The sequence below is a fragment of the Homo sapiens genome, chromosome 22, assembly GCF_000001405.40.
Source record: "Homo sapiens chromosome 22, GRCh38.p14 Primary Assembly".
NCBI lineage: Eukaryota > Metazoa > Chordata > Mammalia > Primates > Hominidae > Homo > Homo sapiens.
Window position 1 is genome coordinate 38,165,778 of NC_000022.11, and position 23,121 is coordinate 38,188,898.

General features: G+C 51.3%; 1 protein-coding gene across 9 annotated transcripts in view, besides 16 other annotated features; it reads right to left on the bottom strand.

Annotated features, from left to right (window-relative positions):
• PLA2G6 (phospholipase A2 group VI) overlaps positions 1 to 16,053 on the bottom strand; it is a 70,336-nt gene extending 54,283 nt beyond the window's left edge. For 3 of the 9 annotated variants that reach the window (NM_001199562.3, NM_001349869.2, NM_001349867.2), the window contains exons 1-2: positions 16,007 to 16,053; positions 3,441 to 3,694 (exon numbers count right to left, since the gene is read on the bottom strand). In NM_001199562.3, the coding sequence (NP_001186491.1) occupies positions 3,441 to 3,649 (209 nt within the window). In that variant the 5' untranslated portion in view covers positions 3,650 to 3,694; positions 16,007 to 16,053. Of the gene's footprint in view, positions 1 to 3,440; positions 3,695 to 15,886 lie in introns of all 9 variants that reach the window. The other 6 variants (NM_001349868.2, NM_001349866.2, NM_001349865.2 and 3 more) reach the window with 3 other exon arrangements.
• Positions 55 to 199: an enhancer, noted in NCBI's record as "145 bp 22:38561911 sequence used in MPRA reporter constructs". NCBI's record gives its function as "activates a minimal TATA-containing promoter with rs132971 allelic activity by MPRAs in C283T melanocytes and UACC903 melanoma cells {active_cell/tissue: C283T | UACC903}" and the evidence as "EXISTENCE:reporter gene assay evidence [ECO:0000049][PMID:36423637]".
• Position 127: a transcriptional cis regulatory region, noted in NCBI's record as "rs132971 or 22:38561911 MPRA-significant variant associated with a GWAS melanoma risk locus at 22q13.1". NCBI's record gives its function as "allelic transcriptional activity by MPRAs in C283T melanocytes and UACC903 melanoma cells {active_cell/tissue: C283T | UACC903}" and the evidence as "EXISTENCE:reporter gene assay evidence [ECO:0000049][PMID:36423637]".
• Positions 8,333 to 8,477: an enhancer, noted in NCBI's record as "145 bp 22:38570189 sequence used in MPRA reporter constructs". NCBI's record gives its function as "activates a minimal TATA-containing promoter with rs133010 allelic activity by MPRAs in UACC903 melanoma cells {active_cell/tissue: UACC903}" and the evidence as "EXISTENCE:reporter gene assay evidence [ECO:0000049][PMID:36423637]".
• Position 8,405: a transcriptional cis regulatory region, noted in NCBI's record as "rs133010 or 22:38570189 MPRA-significant variant associated with a GWAS melanoma risk locus at 22q13.1". NCBI's record gives its function as "allelic transcriptional activity by MPRAs in UACC903 melanoma cells {active_cell/tissue: UACC903}" and the evidence as "EXISTENCE:reporter gene assay evidence [ECO:0000049][PMID:36423637]".
• Positions 10,460 to 10,749: an enhancer, noted in NCBI's record as "active region_18994". NCBI's record gives its function as "activates an Ori minimal core promoter by ATAC-STARR-seq in GM12878 lymphoblastoid cells {active_cell/tissue: GM12878}" and the evidence as "EXISTENCE:reporter gene assay evidence [ECO:0000049][PMID:35858748]".
• Positions 10,520 to 10,712: a transcriptional cis regulatory region, noted in NCBI's record as "rs4384-gRNA-G1, rs4384-gRNA-G2 and rs4384-gRNA-G3 region targeted for CRISPR interference". NCBI's record gives its function as "positively regulates MAFF gene expression in UACC903 melanoma cells {active_cell/tissue: UACC903}" and the evidence as "EXISTENCE:mutant phenotype evidence [ECO:0000015][PMID:36423637]".
• Positions 10,584 to 10,728: an enhancer, noted in NCBI's record as "145 bp 22:38572440 oligo used in MPRA reporter constructs". NCBI's record gives its function as "activates a minimal TATA-containing promoter with rs4384 allelic activity by MPRAs in UACC903 melanoma cells {active_cell/tissue: UACC903}" and the evidence as "EXISTENCE:reporter gene assay evidence [ECO:0000049][PMID:36423637]".
• Position 10,656: a transcriptional cis regulatory region, noted in NCBI's record as "rs4384 or 22:38572440 MPRA-significant variant associated with a GWAS melanoma risk locus at 22q13.1". NCBI's record gives its function as "allelic transcriptional activity by MPRAs in UACC903 melanoma cells {active_cell/tissue: UACC903}" and the evidence as "EXISTENCE:reporter gene assay evidence [ECO:0000049][PMID:36423637]".
• Positions 14,456 to 14,625: an enhancer, noted in NCBI's record as "active region_18995". NCBI's record gives its function as "activates an Ori minimal core promoter by ATAC-STARR-seq in GM12878 lymphoblastoid cells {active_cell/tissue: GM12878}" and the evidence as "EXISTENCE:reporter gene assay evidence [ECO:0000049][PMID:35858748]".
• Positions 14,906 to 14,975: an enhancer, noted in NCBI's record as "active region_18996". NCBI's record gives its function as "activates an Ori minimal core promoter by ATAC-STARR-seq in GM12878 lymphoblastoid cells {active_cell/tissue: GM12878}" and the evidence as "EXISTENCE:reporter gene assay evidence [ECO:0000049][PMID:35858748]".
• Positions 15,606 to 16,055: an enhancer, noted in NCBI's record as "active region_18997". NCBI's record gives its function as "activates an Ori minimal core promoter by ATAC-STARR-seq in GM12878 lymphoblastoid cells {active_cell/tissue: GM12878}" and the evidence as "EXISTENCE:reporter gene assay evidence [ECO:0000049][PMID:35858748]".
• Positions 15,606 to 16,325: a biological region, named in NCBI's record as "Sharpr-MPRA regulatory region 6169".
• Positions 16,005 to 16,299: an enhancer, noted in NCBI's record as "tiled region #6169; HepG2 Activating DNase unmatched - State 1:Tss, and K562 Activating DNase unmatched - State 1:Tss". NCBI's record gives its function as "activates a minimal TATA promoter and a strong SV40 promoter by Sharpr-MPRA in HepG2 and K562 cells {active_cell/tissue: HepG2 | K562}" and the evidence as "EXISTENCE:reporter gene assay evidence [ECO:0000049][PMID:27701403]".
• Positions 16,216 to 16,325: an enhancer, noted in NCBI's record as "active region_18998". NCBI's record gives its function as "activates an Ori minimal core promoter by ATAC-STARR-seq in GM12878 lymphoblastoid cells {active_cell/tissue: GM12878}" and the evidence as "EXISTENCE:reporter gene assay evidence [ECO:0000049][PMID:35858748]".
• Positions 19,061 to 19,205: an enhancer, noted in NCBI's record as "145 bp 22:38580917 sequence used in MPRA reporter constructs". NCBI's record gives its function as "activates a minimal TATA-containing promoter with rs13056506 allelic activity by MPRAs in C283T melanocytes and UACC903 melanoma cells {active_cell/tissue: C283T | UACC903}" and the evidence as "EXISTENCE:reporter gene assay evidence [ECO:0000049][PMID:36423637]".
• Position 19,133: a transcriptional cis regulatory region, noted in NCBI's record as "rs13056506 or 22:38580917 MPRA-significant variant associated with a GWAS melanoma risk locus at 22q13.1". NCBI's record gives its function as "allelic transcriptional activity by MPRAs in C283T melanocytes and UACC903 melanoma cells {active_cell/tissue: C283T | UACC903}" and the evidence as "EXISTENCE:reporter gene assay evidence [ECO:0000049][PMID:36423637]".

Genomic DNA, 23,121 nt, shown 5'->3' on the forward strand with positions numbered 1-23,121 from the left:
GCTGAGGCAGGAGAATGGCATGAACCCAGGAGGCAGATCTTGCAGTGAGCTGACATTGTGCCACTGCACTCCAGCCTGAGCGACAGAGCGAGACTCCATCTCAAAAAATGAAAATAAAAATAAAAATAAAAGAAAACAGGAAGCCCTTGGGGAGTAAAGCAGGGGAGTGACCAATCAGATTTGCCCTCTGGAAACAGCGCTGTGACAGCAGCTTGGAAGAGGATGAGAGGAGTGCAGGCCACAGCCGGAGCAGCAGGAGACACGTGCACAATGACTGTGGTCTGGAGAAGCGAGCCAGCAGCAAGACGGAGGGAGAAAGAACCTCTGATTTTCGACTGGCACGTGGCTGTCTGCAACACAGGCAACACTTCCCAGCATCCTTTGCAGTTAGCTGTGGCCATGTGACCGGGTTCTGGCCAATGCGTGCAACTTCCATGAAATGTCCCTGAGGAGGGGGAGATTGACCTTCTGCATCCTGCCCTTCCACCCTCCCTTTGGCTGGAAAGGTGGATGTGATGGCTGGATCTGGCACAGCCCGTTGCAATGATGCTATCTGCTGAAATGGAAAGGTTCGGGTGGGAGCAGGTTAGAGGGGAGAAGATAAAAAAGACTCCAGAGCTATGACTGTGAAAATAAATAAATCAATAAAATTTAGAAATAAGACAAACAAAGCCGGGCATGGTGACTCATGCCTGTAATCCCAGCACTTTGGGAGGCCAAGGCAGGCAGATCACGAGGTCAGGAGTTCAAGACCATCCTGGCTAACACAGTGAAACCCTGTCTCTACTAAAAAACACAAAAATTAGCCAGGTATGGTGGCACGCACCTGTAGTCTCAGCTACTCGGGAGGCTGAGGCAGAAGAATAGCTTGAACCCAGGAGGCAGAGGTTGCTGTAAGCCAAGATCATGCCACTGCACTCCAGCCTGGGCAACAGAGCAAGACTTAACGTCTCAAAAAAATAAATACATACATACATACATGGAAACAACACAGCAGCACAGAGAAATGAATTGGGAACCAGAAGACACTGATTCTGTTTCTTCACTGCTTCCTGTGTATAAGTGGGATGAATCACTTATCATCCCAAGGCTATTTTCTCATGCATAAAATGGAATACTGCCTTCCTTGCCCACCTCCACGGATTGGCAGAGAATGTGCTAACCCAACATACTTAAAAACATCCTGTAAAATTGTAATCCCAGCACTTTGGGAGGCCGAGGCAGGCGGATCACGAGGTCAGGAGATTGAGACCATCCTGGCTAACATGGTGAAACCCCATCTCTACTAAAAATACAAAATATTAGCCAGGCGTGGTGGCGGGTGCCTGTAGTCCCAGCTACTTGGGAGGCTGAGGCAGGAGAATGGCGTGAACCTGGGAGGCGGAGCTTGCAGTAAGCCGAGATCGCGTCACTGTACTCCAGCCTGGGTGACAGAGCGAGACTCTGTCTCAAAAAAAAAAAAAAAAGAAAACAAAAAATCCTGTAAACTATAAAGTACCACAGAATAGCTTACGTGTAGCTAAGAAGCTGCTGACAAAGGACTAAATCCTCCTGGGATGGAGGTCTGCCCACACTGGGGCTTAAGCTGGCTGAGACAAATCTGGAATCCTGTCAAGGGATTTTACAACTGACAGAACTTGGTGATTATTGGTACGTGGAGATTAGTGGTATCCCCAGGGCCGTGTACCTCAAAAGTGGGGCTGTCCAGCTCTCCAAGGAGTGGACCCGCTGCCCTGGTCAGCTGTGCCTGCAGTGGAGCTCTGAAGCTACAAGTGCAAGCCTGCCCCGTCCAGGGTCAGTCCTGATCGAGTCCAGCTGGAAGGCGGTCTGCTCAGCCCCATCTGCACTCAGAATCTGGAATGGCCCCACTGTATTAAAACTGGTGCCTGCACTGGCCACTGAGCTGCATTTAGCCCAAGCACCTGCTGTGGGTGCCTCTGCCTCAGGTTCCTTGTGGAGCCAGGCTCTGAATTCTCACCTGATTGGATGGGGCCCTGATACCTGCCTTGCTCTTCTGTTGGTGGCAGCCCCTGGCCCCCAGCCTGACACTTTCAGAGACCCCTCCTGCCATGCCTCTTTAGTCAGAATGAGTCCCCAGCTGCTTCCTTCAGCCTCACTCTCACCAAAGCCCTGCATGCACCTGGGATCCAACCAGAGCCACCTGCCTGCAGGCTCACACCTCCACACTTCTGCACGGCTGGAACGACCTTATCCATTTTGTTCTGCCACACAGGCTCCTCCTCACTCTTCCAGACGCAGAGTAGCTCTCAATCACCTCCTTGTGATCCACACTGTTTCCTAGGCTCTCCCTCTGTCACAGCACTCCTCAAGGGGTGCTATGACGCCTGTTTGCACCGGACCTCCCCCACCAGACTGTACGTTCCTTAAAGACACAGGACATGTTTGTCATCTCACAGGCCAGCCAGGACTGGCCCGAAGCCCAGGACTCTGGAGACACTGGAGGTGCTTGGTGCATGTTGAATGGATGGCTGACAGGACAGCCAGATGGATAGGTGAGCGGAAACAGGGATATCTGTCTGAGCCCAACTAGATGCCAGTCTGCCAAGCACTGCTGGGGCCTGCATTTGGAACCTTGGCTGCTTCTCCCCTTTTCCCAACCAGCTCTGCCGTTGGCCCGGTTCCCTCAGGCCTGTCCTGGCTTTTGAGCCTTCTCTTCAGGCCCAGGGGAGTCCCAGCATGCCCCAAGAGGCAACAGCTCTGTCCAGCCTTCCTAAGCAAACCCTGGGCAGCCCCTATGAGAACGGCCATGCCCTTAAAGAGCCAGGGCTAGGCCAGGTGCAGTGGCTCACGCCTGCAATCCCAGCACTTTGGGAGGCCAAGGTGGGCAGATCACCTGAGGTCAGGAGTTTGAGACCAGCCTGGCCAATATGATGAAACCCCGTCTCTGCTAAAAATACAAAAATCAGCTGGGCGTGGTGGTGGGTGCCTGTAATCCCAGCTACTCAGGAGGCTGAGGCAGGAGAATCGCTTGAACCTGGGAGGCAGAGGTTGCAGTGAGCCGAGATTGCGCCACTGCACTCCAGCCTGGGCAACAGAGCAAGACTGTCTCAAAAAACAAAAACCAAAACCAAAAATAAAGAGCCAGGGCTAAAGGTTCTCCCCATGGGCCTTATCTGATGTGGACACTCTCAGTCTCCCTGTCCTTCCTTCTTCCCTTTGTCCATATAGGTCGAGCCTCCAGGCCAGAAACAACCCAGGCTTCCATCCTCAGCCTCGTGCTGGGACACTGATGGGCCAGAAGTGTGGAGTCTCGGAAGCCCTTCCCTCTGGTCCAAGAGTACAGTCTCCCCTCTCTCCCACCCCTCTCCAGACCCCTCAGACAGAGACTCAAAGAAACTGCTTCTCGGCCAATAAGACCTCCAATCCGAGACGTGGGGGAGTGAAAGGAGAGAAGTATGTTCCCGCTGAGCATCACCCACCGGAATCCACTCTGTGAGTTCCTGGGGTTGACCAGGACGCAGTCCCAGGTGCGGTTGGGAGTGTTCTGGAACAGAATCAGCTGCCCTTCCTCCCGAACTCGGTCACTCGAGGTGTAGTCGGCCACAGCCACCTCCTTCACCCGGAATGGGTTAGAGAACAAGTTGGTGACGCCACTGAAGGTATTGACCAGGCGGCCAAAGAACTGCATCTTCTGCGGGGCAGGTGGGGAGGCCCCACCGTCTTCCCCCTCTGTCTGGAAGAAAACGAGGTCTCTGGTCAGCCAGGCACAGTCTCCCATGCCCATCTCACCCAGTGCAGCGGTTTCCTGCACAGACACCCAGATCACTCCCCACCAGCGTTGTCCCCAGATCCTGGGCCTGGAGGGATCTTAAAAGGAGGGGAAAGAAAGAGAAACAACACTGAGTGGGAGGTAAAAGTGACAGAACCCTCAGGCCAGGCTGGCTACCTAGAAGGCTGTCCCCCTGTGCTGCCACTGTGCACAGGTGACCTTAACTGCCTGCTTCCTGACCCAGTGTCCCAGCAGAGACTCAGTTTCCTCACCTGTAGTGTGTGGTATTGACCAAAGGAGATAGCACATGTGAACATACATTATAGGCAGTAATGCCCTGGGCAAATGGAGGGTTCTCACTAAATAAGTTACAGAGATAACCTTTCAGCACTCAAAGAGGCTAGTATGGACCAGACACAGTGGCTCAGGCATGTAATCCCAGCACTTCGAGAGGCTGAGGCGGGCGGATCATTTGAGGTCAGAAATTCGAGACCAGCCTGGCCAACATGGCGAAACCCTGCCTCTACTAAAAATACAAAAATTAGCCAGATGTGGTGGCAGGCGCCTGTAGTCCCAGCTGCCCGGGAAGCTGAGGCAGGAGAATCACTTGAACCCGGGAGGCAGAGGTTGCAGTGAGCTGAGATCGCGCCACTGCACTCCAGCCTGGGCGATAGGGTGACTCTGTCTCAAAAAAAAAAAAAAAAAAAGAGGCCAGCATGGATCATTTCACTTCCGCAAACAAAATCAATGTCCCCCCTCCTAGATACCAAAAGGTGACCAGCATCATGTCACACTCTATCGGAGCAAGGGGATCATCGGCATTGGTCTAAATCCTTTGTTTCCTGCTACCACAGGTTTCCCAAAGAGCTCCGAGAGACAGCACACAAAAGCAAGCTCCTTGGAAATGAACGAACTGCACCTTCTGCAGGGGCAGGTGGGGGAGCCCCTGCAGAAGATGCCATTCGAGACTCAGGAGCAGCAGTGTCTGGGTGGTAACTTTACGCTGCATATTCAGAGTCATAGTTTCTGCCATGGAAATTGTCCCCAGTGTTGATGATGGAATTAGATACCTTGTTATTTCCTAGGTTCCCAGAAAATACACTGCCTTCCTAAGGTACTGTCACCAAAGCCAGGCGCCAATCAGACGGAGGCCGCCCTCTGCCTCTGTGCCAAGATGTCACCAGACAAAAGACACTAAGGACAGAGTATGGGTGCCCTGGGGGAGAGAGGACATCTGAGTGGACACTGGGTCACAGCCACATTCTTCCCTGGCCTATGTGCTGAGCACAGGATCAACCCTGGGGACAGAAGGAAGACAAAAGCAAGGGGCCCACTAAGAGGCACATGAAAAGGAAAAAAGATCAATACTAATAATTATACCAACAAGGCACGGTGGTTCACGCCTGTAATCCCAGCACTTTGGGAGGCCGACTCGGGCGGATCACCTGAGGTCAGGAGTTTGAGACCAGCCTGACCAACATGGAGAAACCCCGTCTCTACTAAAAATACAAAAAATTAGCCAGGCATGGTGGCGCATGCCTGTAATCCCAGCTACTTGGGAGGCTGAGGCAGAAGAATCGCTTGAACCTGGGAGGCGGAGGTTGCGGTGAGCTGAGATGGCGCCATTGCACTCCAGCCTGGGCAACAAGAGCGAAACTCCGTCTCAAAAAAAAAAAAAAAAAGATCATAACAACTGAAGAAAAGTTCGCAGTGTCCCATTACAAGGCTCAGTGCCATCTCTCAATGATGTCTATCTGGAATGTTCTTCCTCTCCTTTTCTGTCTGAGAAAGCCCTGATCCTTCTTCAAATCCAAGCTTGGTTCTCGTGGTTCTCAGCCTCCTCCTTAAAAATGTTTTTGTTGTTGTTGTTTTGAAACAGGGTCTGGCTCTGTTGCCCAGGCTGGAGTACAGTGGCTCAATCATGGCTCACTGCAGCCTCTACCTCCTTCCACCTCAGCCTCCTGAGTAGCTAGGACTACAGGTGTGTATCACCAGGCCTAGGTAATTTCTTCCAAACAATTTTTATAGAGGCCAGGCATGGTGGCTCATGCCCGTAATCCCAGCACTCTGGGAGGCTGAGGAGGGCAGATCACTTGAGGTCAGGAATTTGAGACCAGCCTGACCAACATGGTGAAACTCCGTCTCTACTAAAAATATAAAAAAATTAGCTGGGCATGGTGGTGGGCACCTATAATCCCAGCTACTTGGGAGACTGAGGCAGGAGAATCACTTGAGCCCGGGAGGTGGAGGTTGCAGTGAGCCAAGATAGCACCACCGCACTCCAGCCTAGGTGACAGAGTGAAGACTCCGTCTCAGAAAAAAAAAAAAAAAAATTATAAAGACAGGGTCTTACCACGTTGCTCAGGCTGGTCTCGAACGCCCGGGTTCAAGCGATCTGCCTGCCTCAGCCTCTCAAAGTGCTGGGATTACAGGTGTGAGTCACCGTGTCTGGCCTAAAATGTTCTTGATACACCATCACCAGATGCCAGGTTCTCTCTCCTTGCTCTGGGCTCTCCCTCACTTTAAACACATCTGTACTATCACAGCCCAGCATGTTACAACTGCCCCTCCTGCCAGACGGTAAGCTTCGTCATCCTCCTACCAAACACTCCTGTGCATCTTGCTGGCACCATCCTGAAAGCTTTACGTACATTAATCATTCTGTCTGACAACCACTCTATGAACTGGTTACTATTATTATCCTCATTTTACATATGAGAACACCAAAGAACAGAGGGGTAAAGTCACGGGCCCAGGGTCACCCAGCTAGTGGGTGGAGCAGTGAAAGCTGGCACCCAGATGGGCTGGCCCAGAGTCTGAGTTTCTCAAAGGCAGCTGCTCGTCTTTTCATCTCCGTCCACAAGCTTGGCTCACAGAAAGTTTGTCAAAACAAAAATTTAACTGAGTAAATATTATGCATAGAAAAAACAAAGCCTGATAGAAAACAAACCAAGATAGACTGACAGAAAACATGCCATTGAGTAGATGAGGGTGCTGGGTTTATGGGCTTTTGTTTTTTCCTTTTCCCTATTTTCCAGATGCTATGTAAAGCGATTATAGTTTTCAAAGGAAGTAGCAGTATAGGCTGAGCCTCTGGGGGCTGCAGCCGGGAAGATGGGGACCTGTGGGACTCAGGCCTGGCCTGGAAGAGCGCAGAGAGGCTACCCCGAGGACGGGCCCACAGGGACGCGGAGGGGTGCGCCCAGGAAGGGCAGAGAGTCAAGAGCATCCAGCACCCATGAGCCTCAGATTGAGGGAGAAAGTCACCAGGGGTGCAGTGAAATCAAAGAAAGATTCCACACACCCCTTCGTCAATGGCCCAGCCTGTGTACCCCCCACCAGAGCCTGGGGCTAGGGGATGCCCCCCACACACCCACGACAGCATGGCCACAGAAACGACAGGCTTGGCTGGCATCCAGCCTTCAGGGTAGGCAGGAGGACGAGATGACGCAATGGAGGGAAGGTGTCTGGGACACAGGCCGACTGTGGGCACACAAACAGTGGCCATTGTTATCACTAGGTGGAAGAAAGGAAATGACAGCCACGGGGCCACATCCTGGAACACTCACGGCATTGCCAACCAGGAAGGCGGGCCAGCAGGGAGAAAGTGCTCACACGTGCTTCCTTCTGTCCCTGCCACCTTGGACCCTGGAGCCTAGGCTCTTCCCAGCACAGCTGCAAGAGGGGGATGGTGGATGAGGGCCCCCCGCATCATGCCTCACTTCATCTCTCCCCCTGGCTTCTCACAGCGTCCTACCCTTGACCTTCCCGTGGGGTAGACAATCACTTTTCCCCACTGATGACCGGCCCCTCCTCCTCCTTACCTGGGCTTCTCCCTGCACCCCCAGGATGCCCAGGTCACCTGACACAGACCGCACCTCGGCTGTGTCAAGCAGCTCTCTCAAACACCACAAGCAGAAAGACAAAGACCCAAGACCTTTGGTGGTGGGGGTTGACAGTGACAATTCTGCCTGTCCAAGCCAGGCAATTTCCAGGTACCAATTTTGGTGCCCCTGCTGAGGGAAGCCAGATATTTCTGGCCGTTTTCCTTATCTCTGCTCACCCATCCTCTGTCAAAACCAAGCTTGCCTGCTGGGTTCATTGAGGGAAGACTGACAGAGAGTGTGCTGGTGTGAGGGTCCCCTGGAGGAGCTGAAGGACGGGAGGAACAAGTATTATTATCCCATCTTCCCATCTCAGAGATCAAGAAACTGAGGCCCAGAGAGGCCCTGAATTGTACATGTTCAAAGGGCAAATTAAGGCCGGGCACAGTGGCTCGTGCCTGTAATTCCAGCATTTTGGGAGGCTGAGGCAGACGGATTGCTTGAGCCCAGGAATTTGAGACCAGCCTGGGGAACATGGCAAAACCCTGTCTCTACAAAATATAAAATAAAATTAGCTGGGCATGGTGGTGTGCGCCTGTGGTCCCAGCTACTCGGGAGGCTAAGGCAAGAGGATTGCTTGATCCTCTTGAGGTCGAGACTGCAGTGAGCCAAGATTGCACTACTGCACTCCAGCCTGGGAGACAGAGCAAGACCCTGCCTCAAAAACAAAACAAAACAAAGGGCAAATTAAAGTTGATGTCCACCAAAAAACAAAAACAAACGGGCTGGGCGCAGTGGCTCACGCCTGTAATCCCAGCACTTTGGGAGGTTAAGGCGGGCGGATCACGAAATCAGGAGATTGAGACCATCCTGGCTAACATGGTGAAACCCCGTCTCTACTAAAAATACAAAAAAAATTAGCTGGGCGTGGTGGCGGGTGCCTGTAGTCCCAGCTATTCGGGAGGCTGAGGCAGGAGAATGGCGTGAACCCGGGAGGCGGAGCTTGCAGTGAGCCGAGATCATGTCACTGCACTCCAGCCTGGGCGAGAGCGAGACTCTGTCTCAAAAAAAAAGAAAGAAAGAAAAACAAACGAAGAAACAAAAAACCTCGAGTGGGAACAGAGGGAGATTGGAGCCAATGGTAGCATCTCTGATGAGTTCCCTGGAAGTGACTACCTGGGTTCATAAAACAGTCAACAGAGAGACCCAAGACCAGTCCCTGTCTCGCCAAGTGCACGGTCCCCTGAGGGAAGGACCCCTAAAGGGGATGACTTTTTAGCTGAACTTTCCAGGAAGAACAGGAGTTTGCCAGCGGGGGAAATGGCGAGAGGCCTTCACAGCAGATGAAGCAGATCAGAACACGGAGGAAGGCAGAGATCAGGGGCTTGCTCAGCCCACCCATGAACGGTGAGCATTTTCACTGGGACTGGACGGCTCGAGAGGGGAAGGTGCTGAGAGGAGGGGCCGTGGTTAGTGCTGTGATCAACGTGAACACAGGTCACCTGGAGCCACTTGTCCAGGGCTGCTATGTCAGTCACGCCCCTCGCCATGCCCAGGGAAGCTCCTCTCATGACGAGGAGCCAAGCCCCGGAAGAAGTGCAGTAGAGGACAAGGGACCAAGAGGGTGGCTCAGAGCGGGTGGTGAGGGAGAACTCAGTCCCAAAAATCTGGTTCCTCCTCAGCTACGAATTCCCTGAAGGACCCTGGGCAGGTCTCAGGCACGGGAGGAGCGGTCCCTGCCCTCTGATTGCTGCTACCTGCCGCAGCTGCCAGGCCCAGGCAGTCCCCTCTCCTCCCCTTTGGAAGGTCTGTGTGAAAACTGCTTTTCTGTAGTGAAAGGGGCCTGCACTTGCGTCCTCCCTGGAATGCGCTCTCCAGTTCCTGCTGGAGCCCCTGCTCATCCTTCAAGGCCCAGCTGCCCCCTCTGAATGCTCAGAGCACCAGAGTGCCCTTCCAGCCTGCACGGTTCCCAACCCAGCCTGACACCCCTCCATGCCCACTGTACGATGCAAATCCAGCTGCAGGTCTCCCTGCTGACCCTGGCCAGTGGCGCCCCATGACCTCCCAGGGAAAGCCCAGACTCCAGCATCCATGAGAGCTGGCCCAACTCACCCCTCCAACTCATCCCTCACCTCTACTCCAGCCACGCCGCACCATCGATCTTCCCAGAACACGTCAAACTCGTGTCTCAGTGCACTTGGGGATACCACACATACGCTCCATCAGCGTAGCCCATCCTCCCCACTTTCTTAACCTGAATGTGTGCTCCACAAAGGACAAATGAACAAATCTCTTCTTATCCATGAAGATACAGCTCAGGTGCCATCTCCTCTGAAAATTCATACCCGCACCTCCGCCCTGCAGCCTGGTGTGCCTTCCTCTTCTCCCCAGCACCCCACACCACCCAGGGCCCAGCCCACAGGAACACACACCATGTGAGAATGGGGGTGCATCTGTTGGCTTGGGCTGCTCACCCAACCCGCTTTGATTTGTTTCCCTAAGCACCTGGCATGATGTTCCTGACTCACAGTGGGTGTTTAATAAGTTTGGTGAATGAATGAATGAGAATGAATGAATGAACCACCTATAAGCCCATGGGGCCAGCACCTCTGAAGCCCCCAGACACACTTTATTCCCTTGAAGGTGATAACAGGGACCACACACTGTTCCCACCCACTCTGAGCTGCCATGCTCCTCTCCACAACGGATAGGGAAATACCATGCTCAAATCCCACCAGTAGCTAACGGCCCACAAGGGGTTCGCTCCTCCACCGGGAGAACCTGTATCTAGCACCTGCACTCCTTCAGGAGCGGCCCTAAGTGATCGGACTGATCCATCCCCAGGCTTCGGTCTGGAAAGTTCAGCTTTATATATAGTCAGGGCACTTAGGCTGAGCTCACTCCTAGTCCAAGCAGGAAAGACTCCAAGCCTTCTGCTTCCTTCTTGACTAAGCCGAGAGCAGAGGAGCCGGACAGCTGCCCGAGAGGTGCGTGACAGGAACCCACAGGCAGCAGGCCAGGAAGCAGACCTCACAGGCTTGGCCACGTGGGGGATTCCAGGAGCACACACAGAACTGCCCGAGGTGGAAATCAGGCCTCACGAGCCCCAGCTGCTGACGACAGGATGTCCCATGATTGGAACAACTGTTGGATGGTCCTGGCAGCAGAACCTGGCAGCAGTGACACCCTCCTGAGCACCCTCCTCCCACCCAGTCAAGACAGAGCAGGCTGGAAACTCAGGGTCCACTCAGAGTGCCAAGCTGCCCCAACTTCCTTCCTGTAGCTCCGTCTGTGCCACACAGCACGGGAGCATGCCACCACACACCGGCCTCCGTCCTCTCACAAGGCCACCATGCCTCACGGTTGGCAAAGGGTTTCACACTTGTGATCCACCTCCAAGCTCACAAAGAAACAGGGAAGGCGCAGCCGGGCGCGGTGGCTCACACCTGTAATCCCAGCACTTTGGGAGGGTGAGATGGGCAGATCACCTGAGGTCAGAAGTTCAAGACCAGCCTGGCCAACGTGTGAGAAAAAAACCCCATCTCTACTAAAACTACAAAAAAAATTAGCCTGGCGTGATGGTGGGTGCCTATAATCACAGCTACTTGGGAGGCTGAAGCAGGAGAATCTTTGAACCCGAGAGGCAGAGGCTGCAGTGAGCCGAGATCATGCCACTGCACTAAAGCTTGGATGACAAAGTGAGACTGTCTCAAAAAAAAAAAAAAAGAAACAAGGAAGGTGCAATCATTCTCCCTGTTTGGCATGTGGAGAAATCAAGGCCCCAAGAGAGGAAATGGGGTGGCAGGTTGTGGTGGGGGATTGCCTGCCTATGTCCTCTGACTCTTGAACAGCACTAGGCAAAGGGCTGGCCACACAGCAGGTGCTCAATCTGTGGGTGAGAAAACACTGAATGAACACAGGGGTCATCTGAGCCTCTGAACCTCCAAGGCAGCCTCCCGGCAAAATGTCCCCGCAAATGTTCCCTCTGACCCCAGCTCATTCCAACCTCTTTCCTAAGTTAGTGGGAAAGGGCTTGATCCCATCCCCTCACACCCCATCAGCACCCACTGCTGCCCAGCACCCACAGGGCGCCAGACGCTTCACCACAGTTTCGGGTAAATTGCCACTTTTTTTTTTTTTTTTTTTTTGAGACAGAGTTTCACTCTTGTTGCCCAAGCTGGAGTGCAATGGCGTGATCTTGGCTCACTGCAACCTCTGCCTCCCGGGTTCAAGCGATTCTCCTGCCTCAGTCTCCAGACTAGCTGGGATTACAGGCGCGCACCACCACACTCGGCTAATTTTTTGTATTTTTAGTAGAAACGGGGTTTCACCATGTTAACCAGGCTGGTCTTGAACTCCTGACCTCCGGTGATCCGCCCACCTCCACCTCCCAAAGTGCTGGGGTTACAGGCATGAGCCACTGCGCCCGGCCGAATTGCCACATTTAACCCTCCAAACACCTGTAAGAAAAGGTCCAGGTCTCTCCACATTACACAGGAAACTGGGGCACAGGTTACACAGTTTGCCAGGATCTGAACCCAATTAGGTGGAATCCAGAGCATCAGGCTCTTAATCCTCAAACTGCCTTCAGGAGAAAGCTGAAAGAAGGTGGCTGAGCGAGGCTTGCTCAACAGGCTCTTAGATTCCAAAAGCCAAGGCCCTCGTCTCAAAATGCACTGCTGCTCACGTGAGCCAGAGCAAAACGTCCTTTCACAAAAGGAAAAAGCATCTCTTTCATTCACTCCGCTTGGCTGGACCACAGCTGGAAGCAAACTGCCCCGAAACTGTCACTGGAGCTCCCAAGCACATGAGACAGGGGTGACTTTAAGAGATCTTTGGGCTGGTGGCACGGTACAGTGTGGCCCATGTTATGACTCACTCCACAAATATTTACTGAGATGGATTGTGGCAGGCATTGTTCTAACCGCTGAGGATACAATCGTAAACAAAACAGACTGGTCAGGCACGGCAGTTCACTCCTGTAATCCCAGCACTTTAGGAGGCCAAGGAAGGAGGATCACTTAAGCTCAGGACTTTGAGACCAGCCTGGGTAATATAGTGAGACCTCACCTCTACAAAAACTTAACAATTACCCAGGCATGGTATCTCTCATGCCTGTAAGTCCCAGCTACTAAGGTGGCTGAGGTGGGGGGATTGCTTAAGTCTAGCAGGTCGAGGCTGCAGTGAGCTGTGATTGTGCCACTGCAATCCAGCCTGAGCGACAGTGAGACCCTGTCTTAAAACAAAACAAGGCCGGGCGCGGTGGCTCACACCAGTAATCCCAGAACTTTGGGAGGCCGAGGCGGGTGGATCACTTGAGGTCAAGAGTTCAAGACCGGCCTGGCCAACATAGTGAAACCCCATCTCTACCAAAAAATACAAAAATTAGCTGGGTGTGGTGGCGTGCACCTGTAATTCCAGCTTCCTGGGAGACTGAGGTGGGAGAATCACTCAAACCCAGGAGGCGGAGGCTGCAGTGAGCTGAGATCGCACCACTGCGCTCCAGCCTGGGCAACAGAGTGAGACCCTGTCTCAAAACCAAAACAACCAACCAACCAAAAAAAACCCCACAAAATCCCTGACATCCTGGAACTTATATTTTAGACAGAGCTACTAATAATAAAGAAGATAAACAGGTAAATATTTACAAAGGTTTTAGATGACAATTAACTACTGAGGAGAAAAACCAGAGAATGGGGATAGGAAGTGCTGAGGTGGAGAGTGAAATTTTAGATTGGGTGAGGAGAGAAGTCTTCACCAAGAAATTGATCTTAAATAAATACCTGATGGAGAGAGATGAAAGTCATATGAATAGCTAGGCAAAGAGAGCGTGTGCAAAGGCCATGGGGCTGGAACATGTTTAGCGAGTTCCAGGAAAAGCAAGGAAGCCAGTGACATCAGAGAGGCAACAGGGGGCCAGGCATGTGCCATGAGAGGAGAGGCCACTGCAAAGAAACAACATTTTAACAAGATCACTCTGGCTGGGTGTGGGGTAAGAAACAGAGAGGCATCATAGATAATCTCACAGCTTTGACCTGAGCAACTGAATGAACAATACTCCTATGTCCTAAGATGAGAAAGAGAGTGGGAGGGACATGTTTTGGTGAAGAGTGGGGTCAGGGATGGAGGGCAGAACTAACAGGAGCTCAATTCTAAACTCTTAAGTTTGAGGCCTGGCGCGGTGGCTCACACCTGTAATCCCACCACTTTGGGAGGCCAAGGCAGGTGGATCACTTGAGATCAGGAGTTCGAGACCAGCCTGGCCAACACGGTGAAACCCCGCCTCTACAAAAATACAAAAATTAGTTGGGCATGATGGCGCATGCTTGTAATCCCAGCTACTTGGGAGGCTGAGGCAGGAGAATCAGGAGGTGGAGGTTGCAGTGAGCCGAGATCGTGCCATTGCATTCCAGCCTGGGTGACAGAGTGAGACTCTGTCTCAAAAAATAAATAAATCAATAAATAAATACTTCAAGTTTGAAAAGCCTAAGTTTGAGGTGCTGAGTAAGCAACTAGATTTGAGTATGTCATTCCAGGGAAAGGTCTGGACTGGACTGGGGATATAAATTTGTGGGCTGACAGAATAGAGACGGCACTTAAAGAAATAAGACTGGATGAGATCACCATCCGAAAACGAGAAGAGGCATTTAAGACATGACCCTATCAAAATCCACTGTGAAAGACACAGAACATATTCTCCCAGGGAGCCACCCTCTACAAAGTGAAGTTTGTAACACACTCTTCACTACGGCCCCTTACTCCTTGCCTACCTACTTCCCCCAGCACACACACCCAATAGATGTCTGCAGACACACACACACACACACACACACACACACACACACACACACAGAGTATTTAAATTTCTCCTTTCTGTATCTCTTAGTGATGTCATTCTGCTGAGTAAGAGGGAAACTCCCTTTTGGGGAGTCTCTCATGTAACAAGAAAGTAATCCACGGAAGGAACAAGAAGTGTCCTAAACAGTAGCAAACCTTACACATCAGGACAATCACACAGGCTCTGGTGTCAGATTCCAGCTTCAACCTCATCGGTGTGACCTCAAGCAACTCATGCGCCCTCTTTTTCTCATGTGAAGTGAGAATATCATTGGCCACACCAAGGGTAGCCTAGAACATCAGACAGTCCGTAAATATTTGTTAGATAAACGATGACTGAATGAATGGTGAAGAGAACATATACAGAAGAGCCTGACTCACAAGAGGTGATGAACAAACACTGCCAAATGATACACTGAAAGACAAGGGACCTCCTGCTCATCCTTCTCTCCTTGTCTTCTCATTCTAGCCCTTTCCCTTTCCACTCCTTTCAATTCTGCCTATGACCCAACAGTAAAATCATGTATTTGTACAGGGCCATACTGGTTATAAAGCTTTACCTTCTACATTTTCTCATTCAAATTTTGAACCTCATGGCAGACTTACGAGGGCAGGAGGTACAGTTCCCCTGTCACAGATGAGGAAACTGAGACTTGGACAGAAAACAGGTTCCAAACTCCAGGCAGAAACTCTAACAAAAACAATGCATTCAAAAACAATGCATTCAGCCCAAGGGTGCAGCCTCAACGTTGCCAAACCGAACCTGCCTGACATCCTGTTGGGCGGGTAAGAGGCAGGTGAGGGAAAGACCCAGAAGCTAGGGGGAGGTATTCGTTGGGGTCATGTGGGTAGCCCATTAAAAATACGGCCACAGGTCCCCTTGCCCTGTGCCCTCCCTGTCCCACACCCACAGGCTTGCCCCGACCCAGTCCCATGATCACCCTGGTCACATGCTCCCTGTCACCAGCTTCCAAGTCATCTGTGGGAGCAGGAGGTGGACACAGGATTAGGGGTGGGAGACTCTGGGGTGGCCAGGCTGAGGGGAAGGAGGGAGCATGTCGGGGGCAGGTCTGGAGGCACGCGAGAGAGGAAAGGCAAGGAAAAAAAGCAGGGAGGAAAGGCAGGAGAAGCAGGGAGTGAGAAATGAGTAGAGGCACCACGAAAGGTGGAGACGGACGTGAAGTGGGGAATCAAGTGAGCACTTAGAGGAGCACAGGAAGGAAAATTAGGACGGCCAATGGGGCCTAAAGAGGCACTGAGGGTCGGGGAAAGAGAAGAGATGGATTGACTCGGGAAGTTAGGGATACTGAGGGAGACACACGGAGGAGACTGGGGTTCAGGGGAGAAACTCAGGGTCGAAGCTGGGGTCCCTGGGGTCCACAAGTTCGAGATGAGACACGGGCGGTCTCGGGATGGGAATTGGGGACGCAGGGGGATGAAAAGATGGAAGGTGGGGGCACTCAGGGAGTCACATAAGGGTTAATGGAGGACATGCCTCAGAATCGGAGACACGAGGAATATCCAAAGGAGGGTCCGGCGGAGACTTGGGAGTCCGGAGCGCCGAGGAAGTTGGGGAACGGACCCCCAGGCCCCGCCCACCCGCGAGGTCACTCACCTCGGCTTACTCAGCACTTCTACTTCCTCCTACTTCCGCAAACAAACGGGCCTCGGGCCACGTGATGGCCTGACCACCGCTCTCCGCCAATCACTGGTGGCCCTGTCCCAGGCCTCCTCTAGGCTCCGCCCCCGCGCCCGAGGACGGCGGGAGGCGGGGTCCGCCATTTTTTTTAACTGCCCAATGGAAGGGGCTCCCTTAGCCAGGAGGACGAGCTTTCGGCGGGAGCCAATCCTCGGCGGCGAGGCGCGGCCATGTTTGTGCGGGGCAGAAGGTGCCCGGCTTCTTGGCAGTCCTGTTGATGAGGGCCAGGAGTCCTACCCTAGTCCGCCTTCCGCCTCCTAAAGCGACCAGAGCCTGGAGTCTGAAGTTACTGTTAATGATTGCTCGTAAAGATAAAAATAAAGGCAACAGAGGCATAGGGCATAACAAGGAGGAACCTGTTTTGATTTTTGCCAGGTAGCCTCAAGCCAGGGTTGCCAGATGTAGCATATAAAAAATACGGGATGTTAAGTTACATTTGAATTTCAGCTAAACAGCCAATACATTTTTTTCCGATAGAACAGAAATTGATTATAGCTTTTTTATTTTTCACAACTAAGGCCAAATTCCCTAGGGGAATTACCACATGTCCTTTTTTTTTTTTTTTTTGAGACAAGTCTCGCTCTGTCGACCATGCTGGAGTGCAGTGGCACGATCTCGCTCACTGCAACCTCCGCCTCCCGGATTCAAGCGATTCTCCTGCGTCAGCCTCCCGCGTAGCTGAGATTGCAGGCGCCCGCCACTACGCCCAGCTAATTTTTTGTATTTTTAGTAGAGACGGGGTTTCACCATGTTGGCCAGGCTGGTCTCGAACTCCTGACCTCAAGTGATCTGCCCGCCTCAGCCTCCCGAAGTGCTGGGATTACAGGCGTGAGCCACCACGCCCGGCTCCGAAATTTTTAACATAAGTATAATATACTAAGTTTAGTATTGTGTTAAAAATGTGTGCATTGTTGTCTGGCAACACACCCTGAGCCAGTCTCAGGAAATACCTTAGCACTTTCAGTAGGAACTTGGGCAAATGATCTCTGTGAACCTCAGACCCATCATCCAGGAAGTGGGCACAGTAATACAAGATTGTTGTAATATCTAGAAGTAAATTGGTCCCCATTCGTGCACATAGTGGGATTTCAATAAATGGCAGTTGTTAGGGTTAATAATGCCGATAATGAGGTATTTTGCAGAGAAGCCAGGAGACTAGACTTTAGTCACACATCTGCTTCGGACTGAGCAGGTCATGTCCTCTCTTCAGCCCACTGGCTTGGTTGGACCTTTTCTTTCCCTAATAATCACCCAACCCTAGGTCTAGATGAATCTGCCAGACTGCTCTCCATTTACGTGGGAAGTATAGTTGCGGGTGTCATTCTTGTGAAAAGAAGCGTGTAGGCCGGGTGCGGTGGCTCACGCCTATAATCCCAGCAGTTTGGGAGGCTGAGGCGGGTGGATCACTTGAGGTCAGGAGTTTGAGACCAGCCTGACCAACATGGTGAAACCCCATCTCTACTAAAAATACAAATAATTAGCTGGGTGTGCTGGCCATAGTCTGTAGTCCCAGCTGCTCAGGAGGCTGAGGCAGGAGAATTGCTTGAACCCAGGAGGCAGAGGTTGCAGTGAGCCAAGATCATGCCACTGTACTCCAGCCTGGGTGACAGAGCCAGACTCTGTCTCAAAAAAAAAAAAAGTGTGTTTCCTCCTTAGTCCGTCTAAAGATATTAGTGCCTAGACAGGGCAGCCAATGCAACTTGCGCAAGGTTTAGTTAAGAATCTTCACAGGTTAATGAAATTAACCATCTTAACTAATATCTGTACAGAGCTTTACCAGTTACAAAGTGACTTCACTTCCATCATATCCTCGTGTCCCCATTTTACAGGTGAGGAAATTGTTCCTTAAAGTAAGATTTAAAATTTGCTTAAGAGTTTCAGCTTGACTGCGCACAGTGGCTCACGCCTGTAATCCCAACACTTTGGGAGGCCGAGGTGGGCAGATCACTTGAGCTCAGGAGTTCAAGACCAGCTTGTGCAACATGGAGAAACCTCGTCTTTAAAAAAAATACAAAAATTATCCAGGTGTGGTCTTGCATGCCTTTGGTCCCAGCTACTGTGCAGGGGAGGCCGGGGGGTCAAGGATGCAGTGAGCCAAGATCGCCTGCACTCCAGCCTGGGTGACAGAGCGAGACCATGTCTCAAAAAAAAAAAAAAAAAAGTTTCAGCTTGAAGTGGAGAGAAAAGGATAAAGACTCAGAATTCTCAATGAAAATATCTTGCCTCCACACCCCAAACAAGCAAAGTTAGAGCGATGGTTATCAAGGAGCTTGCAAAAGGCCATGCATTCCACGCACTGCCAAGCAATCTTTCCTTCCTGAGAAAACCCACAGGGGCAACATGAGGTGTCCCATTCTTCAACAAACACCCACCCTTGCATTCAGGATTTTGCAAAGCACATTTGGAAATGCAGATACACAGGTGAATCTAAAATGCAGACAAGGGCCAGGTGTGGTGGCTCATGCCTATAATCCCAACACTTTAGGAGGCTGAGGCGGGTGGATTACCTGAGGTCAGGAGTTCGAGACCATTCTGACCAACATGGTGAAACCCCGTCTCTACAAAAAAATACAAAAAAATTAGTCAGGCGTGGTGGCAGGCAACTGTAATCCCAGCTACTGGGGAGGCTGAGGCAGAAAAATCTCTTGAACCCAGGAGGTGGAGGTTGCAGTGAGCTGAGATCACACCAGTGCCCTCCAGCCTAGGCGACAGAGCAAGACCCCATCTCAATAAATAAATAAATAATAAAATGCAGAAAAGGCCAAGAGAGGCTGGATCAATTGCTGGAAACAGTCAAAGATCCACAGAAGACATTCACAAAATAGAATCTCAGTACCTGATGAAGTTAAGTATCCCTTCCCTAGGTATTTCTGGTGGAAACCATTTAATGAGTAGATAAATCAAAAGATGGAATAGAGGGGATTATTAGGTAGCATTGAATGAGCAAGTAAAGGGATGGGGCAAGTAAGCACGAGGGAGTGTGTTCTGTAGTGCTAGCAGATGGAGCTGCTAGCAGTTAAAGTCAAAAGAACTTCTCCTGAGGTGTTGTGCTAGGCTCCTCCCATACATCAGGGAGGGCGTCTGCCCTCTAAGAGCCCAGAGCACAGAGGGTCAGACTAGACTAATCTTTTCCTTCAAGGAGCTAGATGGAAATCTAACTAACATGCTAACAGTGCAATATCACACCTTTTACTTTTTTTTGGAGACAGAGTCTCCCTCTGTCACCCAGGCTGGAGCGCAGTGGCGCGATCTTGGCTCACGGCAACCTCCACCTCCCAGGTTCTAACTGATTCTCCTGCCTCAGCCTCCCGAGTAGCTGGAATTACAGGCGTGCACTACCACGCCTGGCTAATTTTTGTATTTCTAATAGAAACGAGGTTTCACCAAGTTGGCCAGGCTGGTCTCAAACTCCTGACCTCAGGGGATCCACCCGCCTCAGTCTCCCAAAGTGCTGGGATTACAGGTGTGAGCCACCACCCCCAGCCGACTTCTTACTTTTTTATCCTTGCAACAGCCCTGTGATATAGTACTGCCATCCCCACTTTGTAGATGAAGAGAATGAGGTTCCACAAGGGAAAATTATCCCCAGAGTTGCCAATGAGAGGCAGTGCCAGTTGCCAGTGTCAACGAGAGGCAGAACCAGAATCAGCACCTGTCTTGTCTTTTCTCTCTCCAAACTCTAGGAGCACTCATTATGTGCCAGGCAGTGTTCTTGGTGCACGTGTAATCCCAGGCACTGAACAAAATGGACAAAAATCCCTGCCTTTGTGCTGCTCACATCCTGGTGGGGAAAGACGGAGAATAAACTAGATAGAGAAGGAAACAGAGAGTGTGTTTTGCTAATGTCTTTGAGTGAGGGTGTCATCATGTTAGCATCTTACATTCAAAGCACCTTAACTGTGGGATCTGGGCATGTCTATTTGAATACCTTTGCACTAGTCCTCCAATTATCTGTGTGTTTGAACTTTTTCTTTCTTTCTTTCTTTTTTTTTTTTTTTTGGAGACAGGGTCTGGCTCTCTCACCCAGGCTGGAGTGCAGTGGGGTGATCTTGGCTGACTGCAATCTCTGCCTCCTGGGCTCAAGCGATCCTCCCATCTCAGTGTCCTGAGTAGCTGGGACTACAGGTTCAGGCCACTATGCTTTTTTTTTTTTTCGGTAGAGTCTGCTTTTCGCCATGTTGCCTAGGCTGGTCTCGAACTCCTGGCCTCAAGCAATCTGCCTGCCTCAGCCTCCCAAAGTGCTGGGATTATAGGCATGAACCACTGTTCTTGGCCTGAACATTTTTATAATTAAAAAGTTGGAGGAAGCTGGGCACAGTGGCTCATGCCTGTAATCCCAGCACTTTGGGAGGCCGAGGCGGGCAGATCACTTGAGGTCAGGAGTTCAAGACCAGCCTGGCCAACATGGTGAAACCCCGTCTCTACTAAAAATACAAAAATTAGCTGGGCGTGACAGCTGGCACCTGTAATCCCAGCTACTCGGGAGGCTGAGGCAGGAGAATCGCTTGAACCCGGAAGGCAGAGGTTGCAATGAGCCAAGATCTTGCCACTGCACGCCAGCTTGGGCAACAGAAGGAGACTCTGCCTCAAAACAAAACAAAACAAAACAAAACAAAAAGTTGGGGGAATATATAGTGAGTTAGAGGGTGAGGAATGCTGGGGAGTAAACACAGGAAGGAGAGACCGGGGAGGGTCACAGTTTTAACTAGATGGGCCAGGAAAAGCGTTAGAAGGGAGATAATTAAATAAAGACCTGATGGAGGCGAAGGAGTGAGCTATGTGCACAACCAGGAAAAGAGTGTTCCAGATGGAGCAAGAACAAAGGCCCTGAGGCAGAAGCCCGCCTGGCTTGTTTTAAGAGGAAAAGCAAAGAGGCTATTATAGCTTTGTTTTGGAGTAGAGAGCCAGTGGGGGTGTAGTAGGCAATAACGTTGAGGTTAAAAGGATATTGGGAGTAGAACTTGTAGGACACTGGAAACCATTTTAAGACTTTGGCTTTCAATATCAGGGCAATAGGGAACCATGAGAGGTTTTTAAGCAGAGGAGTGACCAGAATGAATTTACACTTTAACAGCTTATGTCTGTTCAGTGAGAATAGAGTGTAAGGGAAGGCAGAGGCTGGGAGACCAGTGAGGAGGCTATTGTAGAAATCCATGGTCGGGCATGGTGGCTCATGCCTATAATCCCAACACTTTGGGAGGCTGAAGCAGGCAGATCACGAGGTCAGGAGTTCAAGACCAGCCTGGCCAAGATGGTGAAACCCCCGTCTCTACTAAAAATACAAAAATTAGCCAGGCATGGTGGCGGGCACGTGTAATCCCAGCTACTCGGGAGGCTGAGGCAGAGAATTGCCTGAACCCGGGAAGCAGAGACTGCAGTGAGCCGAGGTAGTGCCACTGTACTCCAGCCTGGGTGACAGAGTGAGACTCCATCTCAAAAAAAAAGAAAGAAAGAAAGAAAGAAAGAAAAAGAAATCCAGGTGAGAGATGATGGTCTGACCACCAGCCCATTTAATCATCACAGCTATAGGTACGTTACAGTCCAAGTTTGTGTTACGATAAAATACGTAAGCCATTGCTAGAAGGCATTGTCAAACTCCTTCCTGTGGGAAGCTTTGTGAGATTATTCTTGAGCAGCAGTGGGCAAACTATCCTGCCTGCCACCTGTTTCTGTAAACAAGTGTTATTGGAACACAGCCACGCCATTTGTTTACACACGTTTCTGCTTTCTGCAGTGGGAGAATTGAGTAATCATGACAGATACCTCATGGCCCACAAAGCCTGGAATATTTCTCTCTGGCCCTTTACAGAAAAAAAAATTTACCCACCACTGATCTTAAATTGGATGTCAAAGGTTAAGTAGGAGTTTGCCGGCTGGATTAGGAAAGAGAACATTCTAGGTGGAAAGAACTGTGTGAGCAAAAGTCAATACCATGAGATTGTGTGGATTGTTTGGGGACCGGCAAGGGGTTGAGCACTGCTGAAACCTGGTGTGTGAGCAGGAGAACAGTCCCCAGAGGCCATCTAGAAAGAGTCTCCCCCTAATCCCAGCACTTTGGGAGCACAAAACGGCTGGCTCGCTTGAGCCCAGGAGTTCAAAACCAGCCTGGGCAACATAGCGAGACTCTCATCTCTACAAAAATTTTAAAAATTAGCCAGGCATGGTGGTGCATGCCTGTAGTCCCAGCTACTTCAGAAGGCTGGGGCAGGAGGATTGCTTGAGCCCCAGCCTCCCAAGGGAAGGGAGGTTGTAGTAAGCTATGATTGTGCCACTGCACTCCAGCCTGGGCAACTTAGTGAGACCCTGTCTCAAAATAAGAAAAAAAGGGCTGGTGCGGTGGCTCACGCCTGTAATCCCAACACTTTGGGAGGCTAGGCAGGCAGATCACTTGAGGTCAGTAGTTTGTGACCAGCTGGGCAACATGGTGAAACTCCTGTATCTACTAAAGCTACAAAAAATTAGCTGGGCGTGGTGGCGGGTGCCTGTAGTCCCAGCTACTCTACTTGGGACGCTGAGGCACGAGAATCGCCTGAACCCGGGAGGCGGAGGTTACAGTGAGCTGACATCATGCCACTGCACTCCAGCCTGGGCAACAGAGCGAGACTCCGTCTCAAAAAATATATATAAAAGAAAAAAAAAGAAAGAGTTTTGAGTTCCAGGCCAAGGATGCAGACCTTGTCCCACAAGCAGTGGGTGCCCTGGAAGGTTGGGGCCAGGAAGCAATGTGGAAAAATCCTTCTGCTGCCTTGGGAGAGGTGATGGGAGGGTGCGGAGCCCACACGGCAGCTGTGCATGATGATGCTAATTACATGGCTTCTGACTTGCTGAGTGGGACATCAGGGCTTGTGCCCTCCACAGGAGGGAAGTGGGCTCCTCAGGAGGTGACCCTGAGCTGTGAGGCAGCAGCCAAGTGTGTTCCCATCCCAAGGGCAAAAGCCAGGCCTGGTCAGGAAGGGCAGGATTTCCCTACTCTGGGGGGACCTCAGCCCAGCTCAGGGGTTCACAGGACAGACTGCGGGCTGAGGAGAAGC